Source organism: Homo sapiens, chromosome 14 (assembly GCF_000001405.40).
Source record: "Homo sapiens chromosome 14, GRCh38.p14 Primary Assembly".
Lineage (NCBI taxonomy): Eukaryota > Metazoa > Chordata > Mammalia > Primates > Hominidae > Homo > Homo sapiens.
Window position 1 is genome coordinate 18,689,768 of NC_000014.9, and position 22,877 is coordinate 18,712,644.

Sequence of the window (22,877 nt, forward strand, 5' to 3'; positions counted from 1 at the left end):
TGCACTCCAGTCTGGGCGACAGAGTGAGACCCTGTCTCAAAAAAAAAAAAAAAAAAAAAAAGAAGAAAGAAAGAAAAGAAAAGAACTTCATATCCTTTGCAGGGACATGGAAGAAGCTGGAAACCATAATTCTCAGCAAACTAACACAAGAACAGAAAACCAAACGCTGCATATTCTCACTCATAAATGGGAGTTGAACAATGAGAACACAGGGACACGGGGAGGGGAACATCACACACTGGGGCCTGTCAGGGGGTGGAGGCTAGGGGAGGGACAGCATTAGAAGAAATATCTAATGTAGATGACGGGTTGATGGGTGCAGCAAACCACCATGGCACGTATATACTTATGTAACAAACCTGCACATTCTGCACATATATCCCAGAATTTAAAGTCTAATTAAAAAAAAAAAAGAACTTATCTATGTAACCAAAAACCACCTATTCCAAAAACTATTGAAATATATATATATATGAACTTATCTATGCAACCAAAAACCACCTGTTCCAAAAACTATTGAAATATATACAGTTAAAATGAATAAGATCTATTATTTGATGGCAAAACAGGGTGATTATAGTCAACAATAATTTATTGCACATTTTATGTTTTTTTCTTTTTCTTTTTACTGTACCTTTTCTATGTACATTTAAAAGTAGCTAAAAGAGTACAATTGGAATGTTTGTAACACAAAGAAATGATAAAAGCTTGAGGTGACAGATACCCCATTTACGCTGATGTAATTATTACACATTGTATGCCCGCATCAAAACATCTCTTGTGCCCCATAAATAGATATATCTACTATATACCCATAAAAATTAAAAATTAAACACACTTTAATCAGAAAAATACATCTATAATAAAATTTTTACAAATTTAAAAAAACAGACTATGTAATACTTCACACCAGGTTGGACATGAAGTCAAAATCATTAATGTTGGCTGTTAGAACGATAACTATTGGTATTATAACTGTTAATAATGTTGTTATTATTTTTGAGATGGAGTCTGGCTCTGTCACCCAGACTGGAGTGCAGTGGTGCAATCTCAGCTCACTGCAACCTCCACTTCCTGGGTTTAAGCAATTCTCGTGCCTCAGCCTCCCGAGTAGCTGGGATTACAGGTGTGTGCCACCACACCTGGCTAATTTTTGTATTTTTTTGTATTATTATTATTATTTTTAGTAGAGATGCGGTTTCACCATGTTGGCCAGGCTGGTCTCAAACTCCTGATTTCAGGTGATCTGCCCACCTCGGCCTCCTGAAGTGCTGCGATTACAGGTGTGAGCCACCATGCCCAGGCATAACTCTTAGTATTAAACCTCTACCCTCACGCTACACTTGGCTTCTCCCTGTACCAAGCAGACCTCCCCGTCTTCCTACAGCTTCTCCTACCTGGGAGGATTCAGGGCCACATGTAAGAAAGGGGGCAGAGCCGGGCGCGGTGTCTCACGCCTGTAATCCCAGCACTTTGGGAGGCCGAGGCGGGCGGATCATGAGGTCAGGAGATCGAGACCATCCTGGCTAACACAGTGAAAACCTGTCTCTAATAAAAATACAAAAAATTAGCTGGGCGTGGTGGTGGGCGCCTGTAGTCCCAGCTACTCGGGAGGCTGAGGCAGGAGAATGGTGTGAACTCGGGAGGCAGAGCTTGCAGTGAGCCGAGACTGCACCACTGCACTCCAGCCTGGGCGATAGAGCAAGACTCTGTCTAAAAAAAAAAAAGAAAAGAAAAGAAAGGGGGCATATTAAAGGGGTATGCCTATTGCACAGTTCATAATTCCCAAGGTACAGAACCACCTTAAGTGCCCATTGACCAATGAGTCGATAAAATGTGGTATATGTACACCATGGACTAATACTCAGCCATACAAAGGAACAAAATAATGTCTTCTGAAGCAACTGGGATGGAGTTGGAGACCATTATTCTAAGTGAAGTAACTCAGGAATGGAAAACCAAATACCCTATGTTCTTACTTACAAGTGAGAGCTAAGCTATGAGGACACAGAGACATACAGAGTGATATAATGGACTCTGGAAACTCAGAAGGGGGAGGATGGGCGGAGAGTGTGGGATAAAAAACTACATATCGGTTATGATGAATGCTACTTGGGTGGTGCGTGCACTAAAATCTCAGAATTCACCGTTACAGAATTCATTCATGTAACTAAATATAACTTGTACCCCCAAAGCTACGGAAACTTTATAAAATTAATAACAATTTAAAAAGAAACAGCTCTCTTTCTGCCTCCACTGCTGCCATGGCACCCGGGAAAAAGCTTGTGGTGAATGGGGGCAAAAAAGGAAGCAGGTTCTGAAGTTCACTCTTGATTGCACCCACCCTGTGGAAGATGGAATCACGGATGCTGCCAATTTTGAGCAGTTTTTGCAAGAGAGGATCAAAGTGAACTGAAAAGCTGGGAAGCTTGGTGGAGGGGTGGTGACCATCAAAAGGAGCAAGAGCAAGATCACCATGACATCTGAGGTGCCTTTTTCCAAAAGGTATTTGAAATATCACACCAAAAATTTTTGAAGAAGAATAATCTACGTGATTGGTTTGCGTAGCTGCTAACAGCAAACAGAGTTATGTTACTTCCAAATTAACCAGGACGAGAAAGAGGAGGGAGATGAGGATTAAATTTCATTTATCTGGAATATTTTGTATGAGTTCTTGAACAAAACTTGCGAACCAAAAAAAAAAAAAAAGTAACAAAAAACTACTTTTTCCTTTTTTGAGATGGGTCTCACTCTGTCACCCAGGCTGGCATGCAGTGGTGTAATCACAGTTTGCTGTAGCCTCGACTTCCTGAGCTCGTCATCCTTCTACCTCAGCCTCCTGAGTAGCTGGGACTACAGGTGTGCCACCACACCCGGCTAATTTTTAGATTTTTTTGTAGAGCCAGGGTATTGCTATATTTTCCAGGCTGGTCTTGAACTCCTGAATGCAAGCCATCCTCCCACTTCAGCCTCCTAAAGTGCTAGGATTACAGGAGTGAGCCACTGCATCCAACCTCAAAAAACTTAAATCTCAACCTGTCGAGTCGCCCCCTCCTTTCCTTCCCTCAACAGAGACATCCACATTCACACTTCACTGGCTCACTTTCTCCGGCTATAACTTCTGTGCCTTGGGTTAGTAGCCCCTGTCCATCTGTGCAGAGAATGGGCTAGCCTTGCCCAGTGCTCACTGAGAGCTCTCCCAGCATGGGTCTTCCTGGTATCTCTGGAAATCCTCTCTTGTGCCAAAGGGAGAAGACAAGGAGGCTTTGTACAGCTCAGGCACTCCCAACCACTGAGGCTCTTTTAATTGGGCTGTCCTCTCACCCCACTTCTCTCCCCAGAGAGATGACCAGCCCCTATTTCCTGTTTCCTTTGCCCTTTGCCTTTGGGTATGAGTTGGGAGAGCAAGCTCCTGCCAGATTCCCCACCACTTGTGCCCCGGCCCAGCCAGGCTGGGAGAACCTGCGCACATCCTGTAGCATTGCCTGTGGAGGCAACACAGGCGCCTGGGAAACAAATCCCCAAATTCCTAAATAGTACCTGTGTGCCCTGGGCCACCTCCTAACTTCTGCAAGCTTCACACTCTACATGCTTCCATAACCGTGGCAGGTTCCATCACAATCTGTGTGGATTATGAGGATATGGGAGCATTAAGTGAAAGAGAAAAGTCTGCACATTACGGCACTTCATTCATGCAGGTGGTTATGAGGGTTCTCCCCTAAATGCACAGGGCTTGCCACTCTGCGCTCCCTCCATATCCCATTTGTCCCTTTCTCACCTCCACACTTCTCCAGATTCTCTATTTAGTGCCTTTCCCAGGACTTGAGAGTCAAGAGGCCTGATCATGCTGAGGACCATGAATTTTGGAACCAGATCTACCTAGCTTCCAAACTGGGATCTGCCACTCTCTACCCTTGAATCAAATATATTTAATATATCTTATTTTTTAAAATGGGGATAAGGATATCTACTTGATAGGTTTACTGATGCAAGAATTAAATAGGATAATGCATATACAGCCTCAGCACAATACCGGGTTCAGAGAAGTTTAGCAAATAATAGAATAATAAATAATAAGAGGTATTATTAGATCCAGCTGGGTACCCCCTTGCTTTGAGGCCTGGCATATGATTGGCATATTTCTCTAGTTCCTGCCACTGATGCCAGTCTCCCCTATCTTTAATTTCACTGGTCACTTTAGAGAATACTGGAAGGAGGAGGTTTGTTAACTGGGTTCACTGGCTCCATACTATCATTTTGCCCAGGAGTTTCCCTTTACATATTTGGGCTGCTTTCTCTTGGTATAAGGAAATAAATTGATTTCCAAACACTTATCTTAATTTTTTTTTTGAGACAGTCTCGCTCAGCTGCCCAGGCTGGAGTGCAGTGGCAGGATCTCAGCTCACTGAAACCTCCACCCTCTGGATTCAAGCGGTTCTCCTGCCTCAGCCTCCCTAGCAGCTGGGATTACAGGCGTGTGCTACCACGCCCGGCTAATTTCTGTATTTTTAGTGGAGATAGGGTTTCCCCATGTTGCCCAGGCTGGTCTTGAACTCCTGACCTCAAGTGATCCACCCACCTCTGCCTCTCAAAGTGCTGGGATTACAGACGTGAGCCACCGTGCCCAGCCAAACACTTGTTGATAGTGGCATCTTTTTAAATTTTTTTAATTTTTAATTTTTAATTTGCAAATTATTTTTTTAGAACAGTGTCTCACTCTGTCACCCAGGCTGGGGTGCAGTGATATAATCATAGTTCACTGCTGCCTCAAACTCCTAGGCTTAAGCGATCTTCCTGCTTCAGCTTCCCCAATAATAGGCGCATGCCACAACGCCCAGCTAATGCTTATTATTATTTTTTTAATTTTTAGTAGAGATGGGGTCATGCTGTGTTGCCAAGGCTGGTTTTGAACTTCTGGGCTCAAATCATCCTCCCACCTTGGCCTCCCAAAGTGCTGGGATTACAGGCATGAGCCACCATGCCTGGCCAATATGGCATCTTTATCTCATTCCTGATTTAATAAAGAATACATTTCTCCATTTACTTGTATGTACATATGAACTATTTAAGATAATAGTAGTTGGCCATGCATGGTGGCTCATTCCTGTAATCCCAGCACTGTGGGAAGCTGAGGCAGGAGGATCACTTGAGCCCAGGTGCTCGAGACCAGCCTGGGCAACACAGCAAGACCCCTTATCTCTCTTTTTTTTAATTTGAAAAATTATAAGTGTAAAAATTAAAAAGTAGTTATCTTGTTAAGGAAATGTCCCATTATTTCCTCTATTTTTATCCTAAGTTTGTTGTTATTACTGTTTTTAAGTTAGGGAGGGTTGTTTAATTTCATCAAATATGGTTTCAGTATTTATTGAAATTATAAGTCTATTTTGCATTTTTGTTTCCTTGACCTTGTGACAGACGTGATGTATAGAGATTTTCCCAGAACTCCCCTTGGAAATGAGTAGCTAGCAAACTACTTTATGTTCGAAGTAGTGGCAAAAGGTTGGACCACACAGTACAGAGAATTAGGACATTTAGATATCCACTTAGGGAAAAATTTAAGTTCGATTCCTTCCTTGTGACCACAAAAAAATTCTAGATGGATTAGACATTAGACCTTGAGAAAACCTTAAAACTATTTGAAGAAAACATAGAAAAATATCTTTATAGCCTTGATTCAAGGAATCATAAAAGCCACCGCACCCGGCCAACCTTGCATTTTCATATTATAGAGATGACTTCTTTCCTTAAACCCCATGAACTAACAACCTCTGTTAGCTTCAAACTTTTCTTCAGCAGCTTCCTCACCTCCCTCAGCTTTCACAGAACTAAAGTGAGCTAGGGGCTTGCCCTGGATTAGGCTTTGCCTTAAGGGGATGTTGTGGGTGATTTGATGTTCTAACCAGCACTAAAACTTTTTCCACATCAGCAACAAGGCTGTTTTGCATTCTTATCATTTGTGTATTCACTGGAGAAGCACTTTTAATTTCCTTCAAGAACTTTTCCTTTGCTTTCACAACTAGGCTAATGGGCACAAGAGGCCTAGCTTTCAGCCTAGGTCGGTTTTCGTTATGCTTTCTGCACTAAAGGTAGTTGTTCCTGACTTTTGATTGAAAGTGAGAATCACACAGTTCTTCTTTCCACCTGAACATGTATAGGGCACTGCATGGTTATTAATTAGCCTAATTTCAATACTGTTGTGTATCAGGTAATAGAGAGGCCTGAGAAGAAGGAGCGAGCTGGGAATGGATGGTGGACAACGCAGTCAGAACACACATAACTGGCAGGGTGCAGTGGCTCATGCCTATAATCCAGCACTTTGGGAGGCCGAGGTGGGAGGATTGCTTGAGTCCAGGAGTTGGAGACTAGCTTGGGCAATATAATGAGACCTCGTCTCTACAAAAAATTTACAAATTAGCTGAGTGTGGTGGCACATGCCTGCTGTAGTTATTCGGGAGGCTGAGGTGGGAGGATCGCTTGAGCCCGGAAGGTGAAGGTTGCAGTGAGCTGAGATCATGCCACCGCACTCCAGCCTGGGTGACAGAGAAAGACTCTGTCTCAAAACAAAACAAAACGAAACAAAACAAAAAGACACATAGACAACATTAAGTTCACCCTCTTATATCAATGAGCTTGTAAACAATTACAATAGCAACATTAAAGATCACTGATCACTATAACATGATAATGAAAACATCTAAAATATTGTGAGAATCAGCGAAACGTAATGCAGAGACAGAAAGTGAGCATATGCTGTTAGAAACACGGCACCGCAAGACTTGCTTGACACAGGGTTGCCGCAAACATTCAATAGGTAAAAAACAATATCTGCAAAGTGCAATAAAGCAAAAACACTATAAAACTTAGTGGGCCCGTACATGAGACTTCTCTGCATTATTTCTTTTTTTTCTTTGTAGAGATGGCGTCTCTCTGTCATCCAGGCTGGAATGCAGTGGCACCATCACAGCTCACTGCATCTTTCAACTCCTGAGCTTCAAGGGATCCTCCTGCCTCAGCCTCCCAAGTAACTGGAGTCACAGGCATGGGCCACCACACCGCGCCCAGCCTGTCTTTTCATTCTTAACAGTGTCTCTGGCACAGCAGACATGTTTCACTTTAATGAGGTCCATCTTGTCCATTTTTTCTTTCGTAGATGGTGTTTTTGTGTTGCATCTAGAAACTCATTGCCAAACCCAAGGTCACCTAGATTTTCTCCTATGTTATTAAACTTACAGAAGTTTGCTAGTTTTGTGTTACATTTAGGTCTATGGTCTGTTTTGTGTTAATTGTTGGGAAAGGTGTAAGGTCAGTGTTTATATTCATTATTCCACATGTGGATGTCTAGTTGTTTCCAGCACTATTTATTGTCAAGACAATCTTTTCTCCATTAAATTGCGTTTGCTCCTCTGCCAAAGATGAGTGGCCTCTATTTGTATGGGTCTATTTCTGGGGTGCTTATTTTGTTCCATTGATCTATTTACCTATTCTTTTGCCAGTACTTCACTGTCTTAATACATACAGAAGACAACATAAACAAAGTAGGAAGTCAACTATAAATGAGAACAAAGTACTTGCATTTTTCCCCCAAAGTATTTTAACCAAACATTTTGCAAAAAATCAAAATGCAAAAATATAAGAATGTCAACAAATTTGCTCAACTATAACAGAAAAAGAAAGCTTACAAGAGAATGTAGAGCTCAGAGTTTCTATTTACTGTTCATTAGATAAATGGTTTAAATGGACTGAAAACCCTGAAAAACTGCTCAAATTATAAAGAATCTATGAAATACTATGGAAGCATTTTCTAACCTGTTTCTGAAACCTCTGAAAAAAACTCATCATGTATCAATACAAGCTAACTTGCTTTACAGAAATAAAAGGAAAACTATACATTTCATTACATGTATACATGTGTCTTTCACATACTTGTAACTCAGAAAACCATGCTTTCACAAATATAATAATAGAAATACCATAATATTAGCAATCATAACATTCGTGAAACTATAAAGAAAAAACTGGCTGGATGCTGTCTCTTACACCCTAGAACCCAGGTTCTGGTCAGGGCTTCTCTTGGTTGTATGAATTCACCTCATGGAACTGTCGTAAGACTCAAAAGAGATAGTGTAAACAAAAGCATCCTGTAAACTGTATTAGCCTGTAGATATGTGGTTCATGTAAATCCAGGCACTTTAATGGCTGACAGCTGCCCCGGCAGAACCGCTTCTCTCGGTTCTTTTTTTTTTTTTTTTTTTTTTACAGGGAAACTAAAGAATTCTTTTATTCTGTTAAACAGAATAAAAAGGAAAAAAGAATACAGACATCACGGTGATGAACTTTCACAAAGCTAACAGATTTGAACTACAGAGCAATGGAATATTCATAAGCAAGATGTCATGGTATTAATGACCAAATGGCATCCAACTAGGTTTTCTAAGCTCAAAAACATTTAAAATCTCAGACTTAAAATTCAAATCTAGACATGACAATTGTAAGCACACCACTCAGTCATTTAAAACTATGCAGTGAGTGCTACTCCTCATTAAATTTTTTTTCGTGTTATTTTTTTCTCCCAAGATTTAGAATGTCACATCTCATGTTCTTACTAGTAATCACACACAGGATTAAAAGCCCAACCAAACAAGAAAGTATTCTTTTTATAATGTGTTCTTAAAAGAAGAAAGAAAAATTAAATGTGAACATTTTGTACAACAGTTGCTAAAGAACAGCAACACCAATTCTGAAATATCATGTGGACTATGCAAAAAGGCACGGCTCATGGAACCAAGTATATAACGCTACAGCATTTGAACATCAGTCTCTAAAAGTTGGTGATATTACATCCTGTACACAGCTCTGTGTCTCTCTACCCGGCTAGCGCATGCCCAGGATCTCTCTGCTTTTTAGTTGATAATTTTTCTCAATATCTGACAGGGCTTGAGCCCGCAGCTGGGCAGCATGAAGCATGAAGCAAGGACCTTCAGGTCCTTGCACTTGGACTTAGATGTGAGCTGACTCTCAGGATTCTCACTCCTCATGACATTCTCTTTACTTTCCCCACTGAAATGAACTTTCTTCTTAATTACTGAGGATGGAAGATTAAGAAGTTCTGGACTACTTGCCAGAGACAGGAACTTCTGTTCCTTTAGCAAGCTGTAATTCTTCAACAGATTTTCTGGTATAGCCAGTCTGTCCTCTGCTAGTCTCTCACAAACACAAAGCTCCTGTTCTTTCTGCTCCAATCTTTCTTCTCCTGCTTTGAGAGCTCGCTCTTGCTCCTCTAACTGAATTTCCTTTAGTTTCAGCTCACTCAATACAGGGCTGGAATCCAGCAATTTTTCTGGCTCTCCTAATTGTCGCCCTCTTCTCTCAAGATTTCTTCTTTGCTCTTCTGCAACCAAATCTGCTATTAAAGGGTTCTCGAGAATTTCTTCAACAGAAGGTTGATGGTAATCCTCTAACATCCTCATAATAATTTCATTCAATTCATCAGAGTAACGGTATAGAATTCGCCTGAATTTGCCTTCTCTGATTTTCCCAGCGAGTTCTTTCTGGCTAAAAGCTGTAAATGGAGGCATTAATGCACGTGACTCATACGGCAAGCAGCCCAATGACCAGATATCTGGTTTCTCATTGTAGGACATGTGATTCGTTTGTTCAGGAGACATGTAATAAGGTATGCCAACAAATGTTTTTGCAAAACTCGTGTCGTGGTTTAATATTCTGGCTAGCCCCAAATCTCCAAGCTTGACGTTTTGCTTGCCATCCAGGAAAACACTGGCTGGTTTCAGATCCCGACGCACTACAGTATGATCACCACCACTTCGTCTGTGGCATTACTTCAGGGCCAGAGTCAACTGAGTCGTCACTCGAAGAACAAACTCTTCATCTAAGTATTGCCTTTCCTTGGTTCCCTTTGTAATTACACTAGCCAGGTCTCCTTCTTCACAATATTCCATTACAACGTACAGTGTTGTGTTGGTCCGGTCAATAATACGATCATAGTAATGAACGATGTTTGGATTTTTCAGTTTACAAAGCAAATTCACTTCAGAAATAAGCATCTGTTTCTCAGCTTCTGTCATGAAGCCATAATCAAGTTCTTTCCAAACTAGTATCTTGCCGTCACTCTTCCGCTGGATCTTCTGGCAGCGGCCATAGGAGCCTGTGCCAATGGTGTACAACACTTCATAGTTCTCAGCCCGGGATGGCATGGCCGGCCAGTCACCAGAGTGGCGCTGCCTCATGCAGGTTGTGCCCCCAAGTGCGGAGCTCCAGGGACCGGGAGCTCCAGGGACCTGGATGGAGAAGCCCCCGAGCAACACTGACCTGCCACCCCTGCCTTCGGCCCCGTTTCTCTCTCGATTCTTAAACAACTTATATTTCCAAGTCCAGTTCAAAAGTTGTATTCTTGGAAGCCTCCGCATCCCACCTGTCCATCCAGGCAGAACTAATCCATCTACACTCTAGTATTATGCTCTCATAACTCTTGGCTCTTCACCAATTCATTCAAGGGTATAATGAGCATTTAAAATATGTCAGGCATCAGGCTATGCACTGGAGAAAAAAATCCTAAATGTGTAAAACTTCCAAAGTTTTCTCACATACATTATCTCATTTCATACTTTAAAAAAATATCCCATAGGATGATAATTTTTTGTTAACAATTTCTCCTACCAGAATGAATTCCCAGGGGGTAGAAACTAAGTGTGATTCATCCTTGACTCCCTAGAGTCTAGTGCAGTGCCTAGCACACCGAAGACACTCATTAAATGCTTGATAAAGGAGTAACAGACACTTGTTTAATTACTAAAATATCAATCAGGGTTAACACTGAAATAATCTTTCCACAAAGTTTCTACAGGGGAAAGGGGAAAATACATTGTATGAACACATCTGTGGAGCGAAAATTCCTCCCTATGATAGACCATCTCCAACTCAAGTTTAACTGTTTAACAAAGCCATGTAGCAACTGAAGATGGATTTGATTTCACTATTAAGAGTAACAAGCTCTAACTGAAGAACAGTGAGTTCTGCATAAAAGCTCCTGTGCAGATCATTCTGCTTGGTAAAACTGGACGTTATTGCACAAACATTAAAATAAACATTTAAACTTGGCCGGGCGTGGGTGGCTCACGCCTATAATCACAGCATTTTGGGAAGCTGAGGCGGGTGGATCACGAGGTCAGGAGATCAAGACCATCCTGGCTAACACGGTGAAACCCTGTCTCTACTAAAAATACAAAGAATTAGCTGGAAGTGGTGGCACGTGCCTGTAGTCCCAGCTACTCGGGAGGCTGAGGCAGGAGAATCACTTGAACCCGGGAGGCAGAGGTTGCAGTGAGCCGAGATCGTGCCACTGCACTCCAGCCTGGTGACAGAACGAGACTCTGTCTCAAAAAAAAAAAAAAAGATTAAAAAAAGTTAAATTGAGAGACTATATAAATGGGTTTATCATCCTTTTCTCCTTTAGTATTTACTTTTCTTAATCTCACATCATGTTCTGCTTTACATAAAAAAGCCTCACAGTTTACAAAGCCCTTTCCCATATATGGTCTTAGCAATCCTGTAGATACCATCAAAAGCATCTTGGAGAGGTAGTGCAGTACTGGAGAAGCAACACAATGAGAAGACCTGGGCTTGAATCTTAGCTTTTACTAGCTGCATGACCTTAGGGATATGTAGCTAAAACTGCAGAAGAAATAAAAATGAATATGTGTCTAAAATTATAGAAGAAATAAAAAATGAAAACATTTTTAATGTTTTTAAAATGCCTACAACTTTGGATCACACAAATGACCAAGCTGATGAACCTTAAAAATTCAAAATATCGGCTGGGTGTGGTGGCCCTTGCCTGTAATCCCAGGACTTTGGGATTCACCTGGCTAACGTGGTGAAACCCCATTTCTACTAAAAATACAAAAAATTAGCCAGGCGTGGTGGCACATGCCTGTAATCTCACTTACTTGGGAGGCTGAGGCAGGAGAATCTATTGAACCTGGCAGGTGGAGGTTGCAGTGACCCGAGATTGCGCCACTGCACTCTAGCTTGGGCAACAACATTTTTTCTGGCAGCCGTAATCCCATGCCTCAGCTTCTTGAGTGGCTGAGATTATAGACATGTGCCCCCACGCCCTACTATTTTTTATTTTTAGTAGAGATGGGGTTTTGCCATGTTCCAGGCTGGTCTCGAACTCCTGACCTCAAGTGATCCACCCGCTTTGGCCTCCCAAAGTGCTGGGAGCCACCATGCCTGGCTAATCCCACTTTCTGACTTTGGCCACTGCACTGAGGGGGATATTCTGGCAGTGTCGTTATCACTGGGGAAACGAAGGCCAGGGAGCATTGCCTTATGGGCTGTGACTGTTTCTTCAGCTGCTTTCACATAAGCTTTGACAGCCTGCCCCCTCAGCAGGAAGGACAGGGATGGCTGTCACCGGCAGGCCCAGGCCCAGCCCCTCAGCCAGGTAGGATGGCCGGAGGATGCCAGGCAGCACTGGCTCCCCAGCCTGGGGCTCACCGCTCTCATCCAGGTCCTCCAGGCGCACTGTCTGGTGGGGCACGGGGCCATCCACAACTCGCTCCAGGATGCCTTGGACCAGGGCTGGCTGGTTGCCTGGGCAAACCCTGAGGTGCTCCCCACCGCAGGTAGTTCAGGCCTTGGCTGTCCTCACAGGAGAGTTCCACCAGGATGGTGATGTGGCTTGGGAAGGAAAAAGAAGCCTCAGGTGGGCTGGGCCCTGTGGCTCACGCCTATAATCCAAGCACTTTGGGAGGCTGAGGTGAGCGGATCACCTGAGGTCAGGAGTTCAAGACCAGTCTAAGCAACATGGTGAAAACCTGTCTCTGCTAAAAATTACAAAAAATTAGCTGGGTGTGGTGGTGGCTGTAATCCCAGCTACTCAGCAGGCTGAGGCACATACTGGACATAGGGACACCAGAAATCAACTGGCTGGCCAGCACCTAACATTAAAGGTCCTGCCAAGCAGAGATATTTTTTAGCTGAATCATATTTTCTTTCTGGAATTTTAGACATGCAAGTACTGAGATAATGAAGGGATTACTATCTGGGGCAAAAGCTGAAAGGATACAGAAAGATGAAAATCATGAGGAAGAGCTGAACACAAAACCAAGAGACAGTCAAAGAGTGTAGCCAGTTCCAGAACCCACAGCCATCTAGTTCTCTCTATATCTGGGTAGGCTCTGCTCTAATTCATGCTTTTCCTAAGATCCTTAAGAAAATACAAATGACTGCTTTGCAATAAAAGCCTAACTGGAACAACTTAAATTGATCGCCCAGGCTCTCACAGGTAAACTCAAGATTTGGTGACTAACAATGAGGAAGATAAAAGAAATAAGAGGAGGGGGGAAGGGGGAGGGATAGCATTAGGAGATATACCTAATGCTAAATGACGAGTTAATGGGTGCAGCACACCAACATGGCACACGTATACATATGTAACAAATCTGCACGTTGTGCACATGTACCCTAAAACTTAAAGTATAATAATAATAATTAAAAAAGAGACTCCCACACCACTTGTGCATCCCAATCAGAAGCCTGATACCCATCCCCACATGGACAGCTGCACAGGCCCTTGGGCTCCACGTGCTTGTGAACACACATGTACTCTGAAGTAAGGACACGGGTTCTTGTGCATCAAGTGGTATGTGGACAGGCCCCTTTGCCCATCACTGGGTATTTCTGGCAGTTTCCTGTTGTTATTCTCTTTGATCTTGTAATGGGTTTTGGGACCCCCACTTCTCCAGTCCCAGGGCTCAGAAGCCCACCAGGCTTTCCGATGCTCTCACTAAGTGTTGGCTTCTTGAGCAAGAAGGGCTAGGTCAGGGGGTGGGGTCTGGTTTTACTCATCTCTGAGTCTAGCCTCTAACCCACTGCTTAACGCAGAAAAGGTACCTGGTGAAAATCTATTAAAATCAATGACTGATTTCGCCCAATTTGGAGTGAGACATGCCCGCACAGTCTCAATGTCTGGAGAGCTTTACAAACCCCAGGGGACACCAGGAAAAAAAAAAAAAGAAATAAGAGGAAAGAATTTAAAATGATTAGGGTTTCTAGATGGGGAACTAGAAGAGATGATGATGCTACTGAGAAAGAGAAATATGGTGTGAAGAGGAGGTTGATTGGAAGAGATACTGAATTAAGTTTTGGACATTTCAAGTCTGAAACGTCTGCGGACTATCTATGAGGAGATTGGAAAATCCGCAATTCAAAAAGCATCACTTAATACATGGTAGTCTAAGCCGCAGAAACACAGGAGTATCAAAAGACAAGTCAAACCCAAGTGCTCTTTGACAAAGCTGATGGCATATAGACAGACAAGACCTTCATAATGGAGTAAATGGATGCTCTGCCCTGATGTACTGTGTACTCATCTGTCCTGGAGCTAGGCTTCCCACCAGGCGAAAATGAAGGCCAGGAGGAGCTCCAGTAGGTCTAAGTAAGAAGCTAAAAGGACTGAAAATCTGAAACTGACAGTGCCATATCCCCCAGAAAGAGAAAGAAAGAAAAAAAGAAAATCTCCAATTTACTCCTTACACAACTTTATAGGTCACAAGACACTTCATAGGAGAGGTGGACAGTTTTCATAAGCACACACCCCAGCTTTAACATATGAAGCAACAGATTTGGAAAAATAAACTTATCTAAGATTATGCAGCTAAAGCCAGGTGTGGTGGCTCACACCTGTAATCCCAGCACTTTGAGAAGCTGAGGCAGGCAGATCACCTGAGGTCAGGAGTTCGAGACCAGCCTGGCCAACGTGGTGAAACCCCGTCTCTACTAATAATGTAAAATTAGCTGGATGTGGTGGTGCATGCCTGTAATCCCAGCTACTCAGGAGGCTGAGGCAGGAGAATCACTTGAACCCAGGAGGTGGAGGTTGCAGTGAGCCAAGATCGTGCCACTGCACTCCAGCCTGGGCAACAAGAGTGAAACTCCATCTCAAAAAAAAAAAAAAAAAGAATATGCAGCTAATAAGCAGCAGAGCTGAGAATCCTTAGCACTCTCAAGCCACAAGACTCAACAGGTTTCACGGAAACCGAACTGATTGAATCTCACTGAAGTATCTACAGCAGGTCCAATCTGCTTTCCTTTAGCTTTTTCTAGATCACCACAGAGAAGGAATACAAATATAACAGTTTCTGATCCTGAAAAAAAAACCAACCCAACTTTGTTTTCCAGAAATCTTTGCTATTTGTAAACTAGTCAGATTTTAGACTGGGCATGGTGGCTCATGCCTGTAATCCCAGCACTTTGGGAGGCCGAGGCAGGTGGATCACGAGGTCAGGAGATAGAGACCATCCTGGCAAACACAGTGGAACCCTGTCTCTATTAAAAATACAAAAAATCAGCCGGGTATGGTGGCATGCGCCTGTAGTCCCAGCTGCTAGGGAGGCTGAGGCAGGAGAATGGCATGAACCCGGGAGGCGGAGCTTGTAGTTAGCCAAGATCGAGCCACTGCACTCCAGCCTGGGTGATAGAGCAAGACTCTGTCGCAAAAAAAAAAAAAAAATTAAAGAGGAGGGGACACACATCTTCTACCTTCCTCACCAATGTTTGCTTTCTACTTACACAAAAAAGGGAAAGTAAAAACATCCTGGTTGTATTAAAGGTTGGGGTTAGAATGCAAATATGGTTCATCTCAAGTACAAAAGAAAATTAAAAAATACAAACTACCATCAGAGAATACTATAAACAACTTTATGCAGATAAACTAGAAAATCTAGAAGAAATGGATAAATTCCTCGACACATACACCCTCCCAAGACTAAACCAGGAAGAATTTGAATCTCTGAATAGACAAATAACAGGCTCTGAAATTGAGGCAATAATCAATAGCTTACCAACCAAAAAAAGCCCAGGACCAGATGGATTCACAGCCGAATTCTACCAGAGGTACAAGGAGGAGCTGGTACCATTCCTTCTGAAACTATTCCAATCAACAGAAAAAGAGGGAATGCTCCCTAACTCATTTTATGAGGCCAGCATCATCCTGATACCAAAGCCTGGCAGAGACACAACAAAAAAAGAGAATTTTAGACCAATATCCCTGATGAACATTGATGCAAAAATCCTCAATAAAATACTGGCAAACCAAATCCAGCAGCACATCAAAAAGCTTATCCACCATGATCAAGTGGGCTTCATCCCTGGGATGCAAGGCTGGTTCAACATATGCAAATCAATAAACGTAATCCAGCATATAAACAGAACCAAAGACAAAAACCACATGATTATCTCAATAGATGCAGAAAAGGCCTTTGACAAAATTCAACAACCCTTCATGCTAAAAACTCTCAATAAATTAGGTATTGATGGGACGTATCTCAAAATAATAAGAGCTATCTATGACAAACCCACAGCCGATATCATACTGAATGGGCAAAAACTGGAAGCATTTCCTTTGAAAACTGGCACAAGACAGGGATGTCCTCTCTCACCACTCCTATTCAACATAGTGTTGGAAGTTCTGGCCAGGGCAATCAGGCAGGAGAAGGAAATAAAGGGTATTCAATTAGGAAAAGAGGAAGTCAAATTGTCCCTGTTTACAGATGACATGATTGTATATCTAGAAAACCCCATCGTCTCAGCCCAAAATCTCCTTAGGCTGATAGGCAACTTCAGCAAAGTCTCAGGATATAAAATCAATGTGCAAAAATCACAAGCATTTTTATACACCAATAACAGACAGAGAGCCAAATCATGAGTGAACTCCCATTCACAGCTGCTTCAAAGAGAATAAAATACCTAGGAATCCAACTTAGAAGGGACGTGAAGGACCTTTTCAAGGAGAACTACAAACCACTGCTCAATGAAATAAAAGAGGATACATACAAATGGAAGAACATTCCATGCTCATGGGTAGGAAGAATCAATATCGTGAAAATGGCCATACTGCCCACGGTAATTTATAGATTCAGTGCCATCCTCATCAAGCTACCAATGACTTTCTTCACAGAATTGGAAAAAACTACTTTAAAGTTCATATGGAACCAAAAAAGAGCCCGCATTGCGAAGTCAATCCTGAGCCAAAAGAACAAAGCTGGAGGCATCACATTACCTGACTTCAAACTATACTACAAGGCAACAGTAACCAAAACAGCATGGTACTGGTACCAAAACAGAAATATAGACCAATGGAACAGAACAGAGCCCTCAGAAATGATGCCACATATCTACAACTATCTGATCTATGACAAACCTGACAAAATCAAGAAATGGGGAAAGGATTCCCTATTTAATAAATGGTGCTGGGAAAACTGGCTAGCCATATGTACAAAGCCGAAACTGGATCCCTTCCTTACACCTAATACAAAAATTAATTCAAGATGGATTAAAGACTTAAATGTTAGACTTATAACTGCAAAAACCCTAGAAGAAAACCTAGGCAATACCATTCAGGACATAGGCATGGGCAAGGACTTCAGGTCTAAAACACCAAAAGCAATGGCAATGGCAACAAAAGCCAAAATTGACAAATGGGATCTAATTAAACTAAAGAGCTTCTGCACAGCAAAAGAAACTACCATCAGAGTGAATAGGCAACCTACAGAATGGGAGAAATTTTTGCAATCTACTCATTTGACAAAGGGCTAATATCCAGAATCTACAATGAACTCAAACAAATTTACAAGAAAAAAACCAAACAACCCCATTGACAAGTGGGCGAAGGATATGAACAGACACTTCTCAAAAGAAGACATTTATGCAGCCAGAAGACACATGAAAAAATGCTCATCATCACTGGCCATCAGAGAAATGCAAATCACAACCACAATGAGGTAGCATCTCACACCAGTTAGAATGGTGAGCATTAAAAAGTCATGAAAGAACAGGTGCTGGAGAGGATGTGGAGAAATAGGAACACTTTTACACTGTTAGTGGGACTGTAAACTAGTTCAACCATTGTGGAAGTCAGTGTGGCGATTCCTCAGGGATCTAGAACTAGAAATACCCTTTGACCCAGCCATCCCATTACTGGGTATATACCCAAAGGATTATAAAACATGTTGCTATAAAGACACATGCACACATATATTTATTGTGGCACTATTCACAATAGCAAAGACTTGGAACCAACCCAAATGTCCAACAATGATAGACTGGATTAAGAAAATGTGGCACATATACACCATGGAATACTATGCAGCCATAAAAAGTGATGAGTTCATGTCCTTTGTAAGGACATGGATGAATCTGGAAACCATCATTCTCAGCAAACTATCACAAGGACAAAATAACCAAACACTGCATGTTCTCACTCATAGGTGGGAATTGAACAATGAGAACACATGGACACAGGAAGGGGAACATCACACACTGGGGCCTGTTGTGGGGTGGAGGCAGGGGGGAGGGATAGCATTAGGAGATGCACCTAATGTTAAATGACGAGTTAATGGATGCAGCACACCAACATGGCACATGTATACATATGTAACAAACCTGCACATTGTGCACGCGTACCCTAAAACTTAAAGTATAATAATAAAAAAAAATTAGAATGCTAAAATCCAAAGAAAAAAGAAAATTAAAATTATCTTAGGCAATTTAGAAATAGCAACTGAGATGAGAGCTGGAGAGAGGCCTTTCATGGGAAGGTGAGAAGGGGTTACTTAGAATTGTTAAAGGGCGGGGGCAGGGGGAGTTTTGACACAATTTTCTTACTTTCTTGATTCCCTAATGCTCCAGTCCTTTGGACTTCTTGGTCTTAAGGCTATATGAATGACCTAATTAGACAAGTTTCCCATCTTCCACTGATTCTTCACCGCCTCTCCACTATTTCTCAACCTCAATTTGTGTCCTACACACTGCCACCTGTGGCCAGCAAATTGACTAACAATGTACGTCTACTAACTTAACGGTCATGGATGTTAAACACTGTTAAATCCAGGAAACCAGTAAAGATTAAGTCTATAGCTAATGATTGGCAGAACTAAGTCTAAACATGATCCTTGAGATTCCAAAATCAGTGGTCTCTATACGTATCATGTTGTCTCTAAGGCTCAATTACCATGAATGTATGTTATGGTAAATGGGACCAAATAAAGTCACAGAAGAGTTTTCAAAAGGAAGGTAAAATGAGGCAAGAAAAAAAGACAATGATAGGGAAGGCAATGCAAGCATCATATCTATTATTAAGGAAGAGCTCACAACATTTCCAGAAAGGCTTTCTAGGAACCAGCCTCGACTGAGGGCAGCACGAACAAGCATCATTTTCCAGGCCACCCCTTGCACCATCTTCATGATTTCCCACCACCCCTTTGAATTATTTTCTAAATCACCCTGATGCTGTCTTACACAGCATATTTTTAAAAGTTCTCAGAAACAGGCTCTTACAGTTTTATTTCTTCTTTTAAAAAAAGTTCCCGCTTATCATGTTGTACTATTTAATCAGAATATACTTGAAAACAAAAGATGCTTTGTGGTTTTTTAACTCTTGGTAATTAATCCATTGTAGGCAGTATTTTAAAAAATGATGTAGGACAGGGAAACCAATATGAAATGGGTAGTCTGAAAAGCAGTTACTAGATACTGACCACCATTTTAGGAAAGGCAGGCTATTTAACCCACTGTATGCTCCCAGGTAAACTTGTCTTCAATTCTTGTTAAGTCAAATATGAAAAACCAAACTTGCCATCTCTATAATTGCTATCGTTTAAAAAATTCTGTTGAGAGGAGACACCAAACATAGTATTTCTTACCCCGTGCAGCATAATAAAAAATAGGATTCCCAGCTTTGGAAGCCCCAGCTTGGTAGAAAATACTTAACGTTTTCAAAGCCTTGATCTCTTCTTTTTCAGGTACCTGATGCCTAAAAGAAAAAGAACAGAGTACCTCTGAGGCTTTATGTTGTCTACTGAGTATGTAAAATAGTCTATAATTGGATAAACAATAAAATACTAAAATAAAAAATATTTTAAAAGCAACAGGCATTCTAAAGGGTAATCTGACAACATGCACCAAAAATTTCAAGGTATTGCTCTTTGAGCCACAAAAGCACTTTTAGGACTATTCTAAGAGAACTATCGGACGAGGATATTAACCATAGGATTGTTTTTACTCATGACATTTTTGTCCCAGACAGAAGTTTATGATTTTTGAATGAATTCATTTTATCAATCTTTTCCTTTCTAGCTTATGGATTTTGAATGGATGAAAAAGGCCTTGCTTTGCCATGCTGTTTTGATTTATGGGAGTTTATCCTCATAAATGGTATGAAGATATTTTTCCAGATCATTACTCAGTTTTATCAACACCATTTATTGAAAGTCGAACCTAATCTCCTGGATTTCAAATACTCAACATGTACAGATTTTTCTTTGTTTTTATTCCTTAAACAATATGGTATAACAACTATTTATATAACATTTATATTGTATTAGATATTATAAGTAATCTAAAAATATTTAAAATATATGGGAGGATGTGCATAGCTTATATGCAAATACTATGACATTTTGTATCAGGGACTTGAGTCTGTGGATTTTAGTGTTCATGGGAGTGAGATGTGGGCAGGAGTTTGGGGGGTGGTTCCTGGAACCAATCCCTGACAGATACTGAGAGACGACCGTATTATAAAGCTAGGCTTTGTCAAAGAAACATATGTAAATGCTTATTATACAGTCCATAGTGTTTAATCACTTTCTGATATGTGTCAATAAGTATTTATCATTAAAGTAGACTTAATTACTTCCTTTTTTGGTCTATCTCTGGTGTTTGAATCAGGAAATCAATTGTTTCTTAGACTCAACACAATGAGTTTCTCAAATAATACCTTTATCTATCTCATCATAACATAAATGCAATCTGAGGCTTTATGTATCTTATTTCCCAATAACTGTAGACTATTCTTCATAAACTGACAACAATAACTTCCCAAACATACCGCTCTCGCACATTTATTTTTCCTGAAAGTCTATCGGTCAAGAAAAAGTAGTAATAAAGATTAGTGTCTTTACATATTTTGAACACAAAAGTTTTACATCTAAAAAGTTTAAATACACATAAAATACAAGTATAAAGCTGTAATGAAGTAGTTATAATTCTCACAGTAAAACCCACTAATATTTGAAAGTCATTTTTTTTACCTTGTAAGACATTTTACATCATCATCTGCTGCTTGGTTTGATGTTCCCATAACCCAGTCTGTCAGGTATTCTACCATCTTATTCCTATAGAATGGTGGAGAAAAGAGAAACAGCACACAATTTTTCTGAAGTCATACCCCCCCACACACACACCTTCAGTCATGTAAGATTACTTATGGTGCAAATAATTTGGCAGATAACCCAGGTGACATGACGACTTTATAAAAGAGATACTGCTATCATAGATGTAAAAGCCAGAAGGAACAAGCAACGTGGATACTGATCCTCCATCATGGCCTTTAGTTATGCTATCAGATTGGAAACAGAATCAAATTCTTAGCTCAAGTACAGCAGAGTTTTAGAAAAAGGGAGGCTTGCCACAGGCACAAAGCTTAGGGAAATTTGAGGAGAGACACAGAGAAAAACAAACATGTAAACTGCTCTCTTTTTATGTCTTTCTTCCTACCAATAACCAGATATCTACTCTATTTCTGTACTTTATTCAACAAATTAAGATTTACAAGACCCTACATTGCTCTTTTGAGAACTCACCTAAATTTCATCTCTCGGCAAAATGAGAGGTCATCTCTCCTTGCCATCGTTACTTCAACCAACTGACACAGTTTCGTTTTTATTTGAATTGCATGGACCATATTCCCAAGCACACAAACGTACCTATACAGACATAGAGACAATAAAAAAGTTATCAGATACAGACACAAGATAAGGCATTCAAAATACTTTAACCATCAAATAAAACGAACTAAACGTAAGTTTGAAAACAGTAAGACATTTATTTATAGGAGAGCATACACAATTTCTGGTTACCTTGTTGTCACAGCCTAGTTTGTGTGCAGTAAAGAATGGCAAATTATTTTATCAATTACTATCAATATCAATGTGTGAGAGGTTTTTCTTGTCTCTTAAATCTTAAAGTATGTTTCTGCTACATTTCAGTAGAAGGCTTACCTGACCAGATTTAACATCATTGTTTCAATGCTAGCTTGCTCTAGATGTTCAGAGCTGCCTTCAGTATGATTATCTAGCAAGTTCTTCAATATAGCTAGGGTTTCCTCTACAAATTGAGTATTGGTATCAGTCAATAAAACCTATAGAGAGAACAAATATATTAATGATTTGCCATCAATGCCCAGAAGACAGATCCCTAGAGAGATGAAACTGACTGATCTAAACACACAAATAGAGACATGCACCCACAGGCACGCAGCCAAACAGGCACACAGATATACACAGACACTCATACCCATATACAAGGCACGTATACCCTCAGGCACACATACACATCAGAGTTCCTAGAAGCAAGCTGACCATTCATTGAGATGATTCTTCTTTCTACAATTTTTTGACAATTTTTAAAAACTGTGAGTACCTAATTTAAATAATCTGAAAGAAAAAGGCTTCATTATTTCAAACAAGTCACTCTATTCATAGGGAAAGGTGAAAAATAAAAAAGAGCACACTTTACCTGTCCTTAGGAGTCAAAAAACTTGCTGATGGGTCTTCTTCAATTTGTTAAATAGCATCAGATAAAGAGCAGGACTCAATTCTAGACCCACCAGGTCCTTATCATTGGTCCGTATTTGAAGTCCCACTTTCTCAAGCTTACACACCATTAACGACAACAGCTGATCCATATATTTGCTGACAGGTGTATCTGCGTTTCCCTCTGAGGACATCACTGAAATCATGGAACCCTTATGTTCACTGACCGGACCCACGGGTGGGCTATAGGTTGCCAGGCCAGAATTC

The 22,877-nt window shown here is 41.0% G+C and overlaps 3 pseudogenes; 1 reads left to right on the top strand and 2 right to left on the bottom strand.

Moving 5' to 3' along the window:
• Positions 2,244–2,698, top strand: RPL22P20 (ribosomal protein L22 pseudogene 20; annotated as a pseudogene).
• NEK2P3 (NEK2 pseudogene 3) lies at positions 8,255–10,353 on the bottom strand (annotated as a pseudogene).
• On the bottom strand, positions 19,723–22,876 carry NF1P10 (neurofibromin 1 pseudogene 10; annotated as a pseudogene).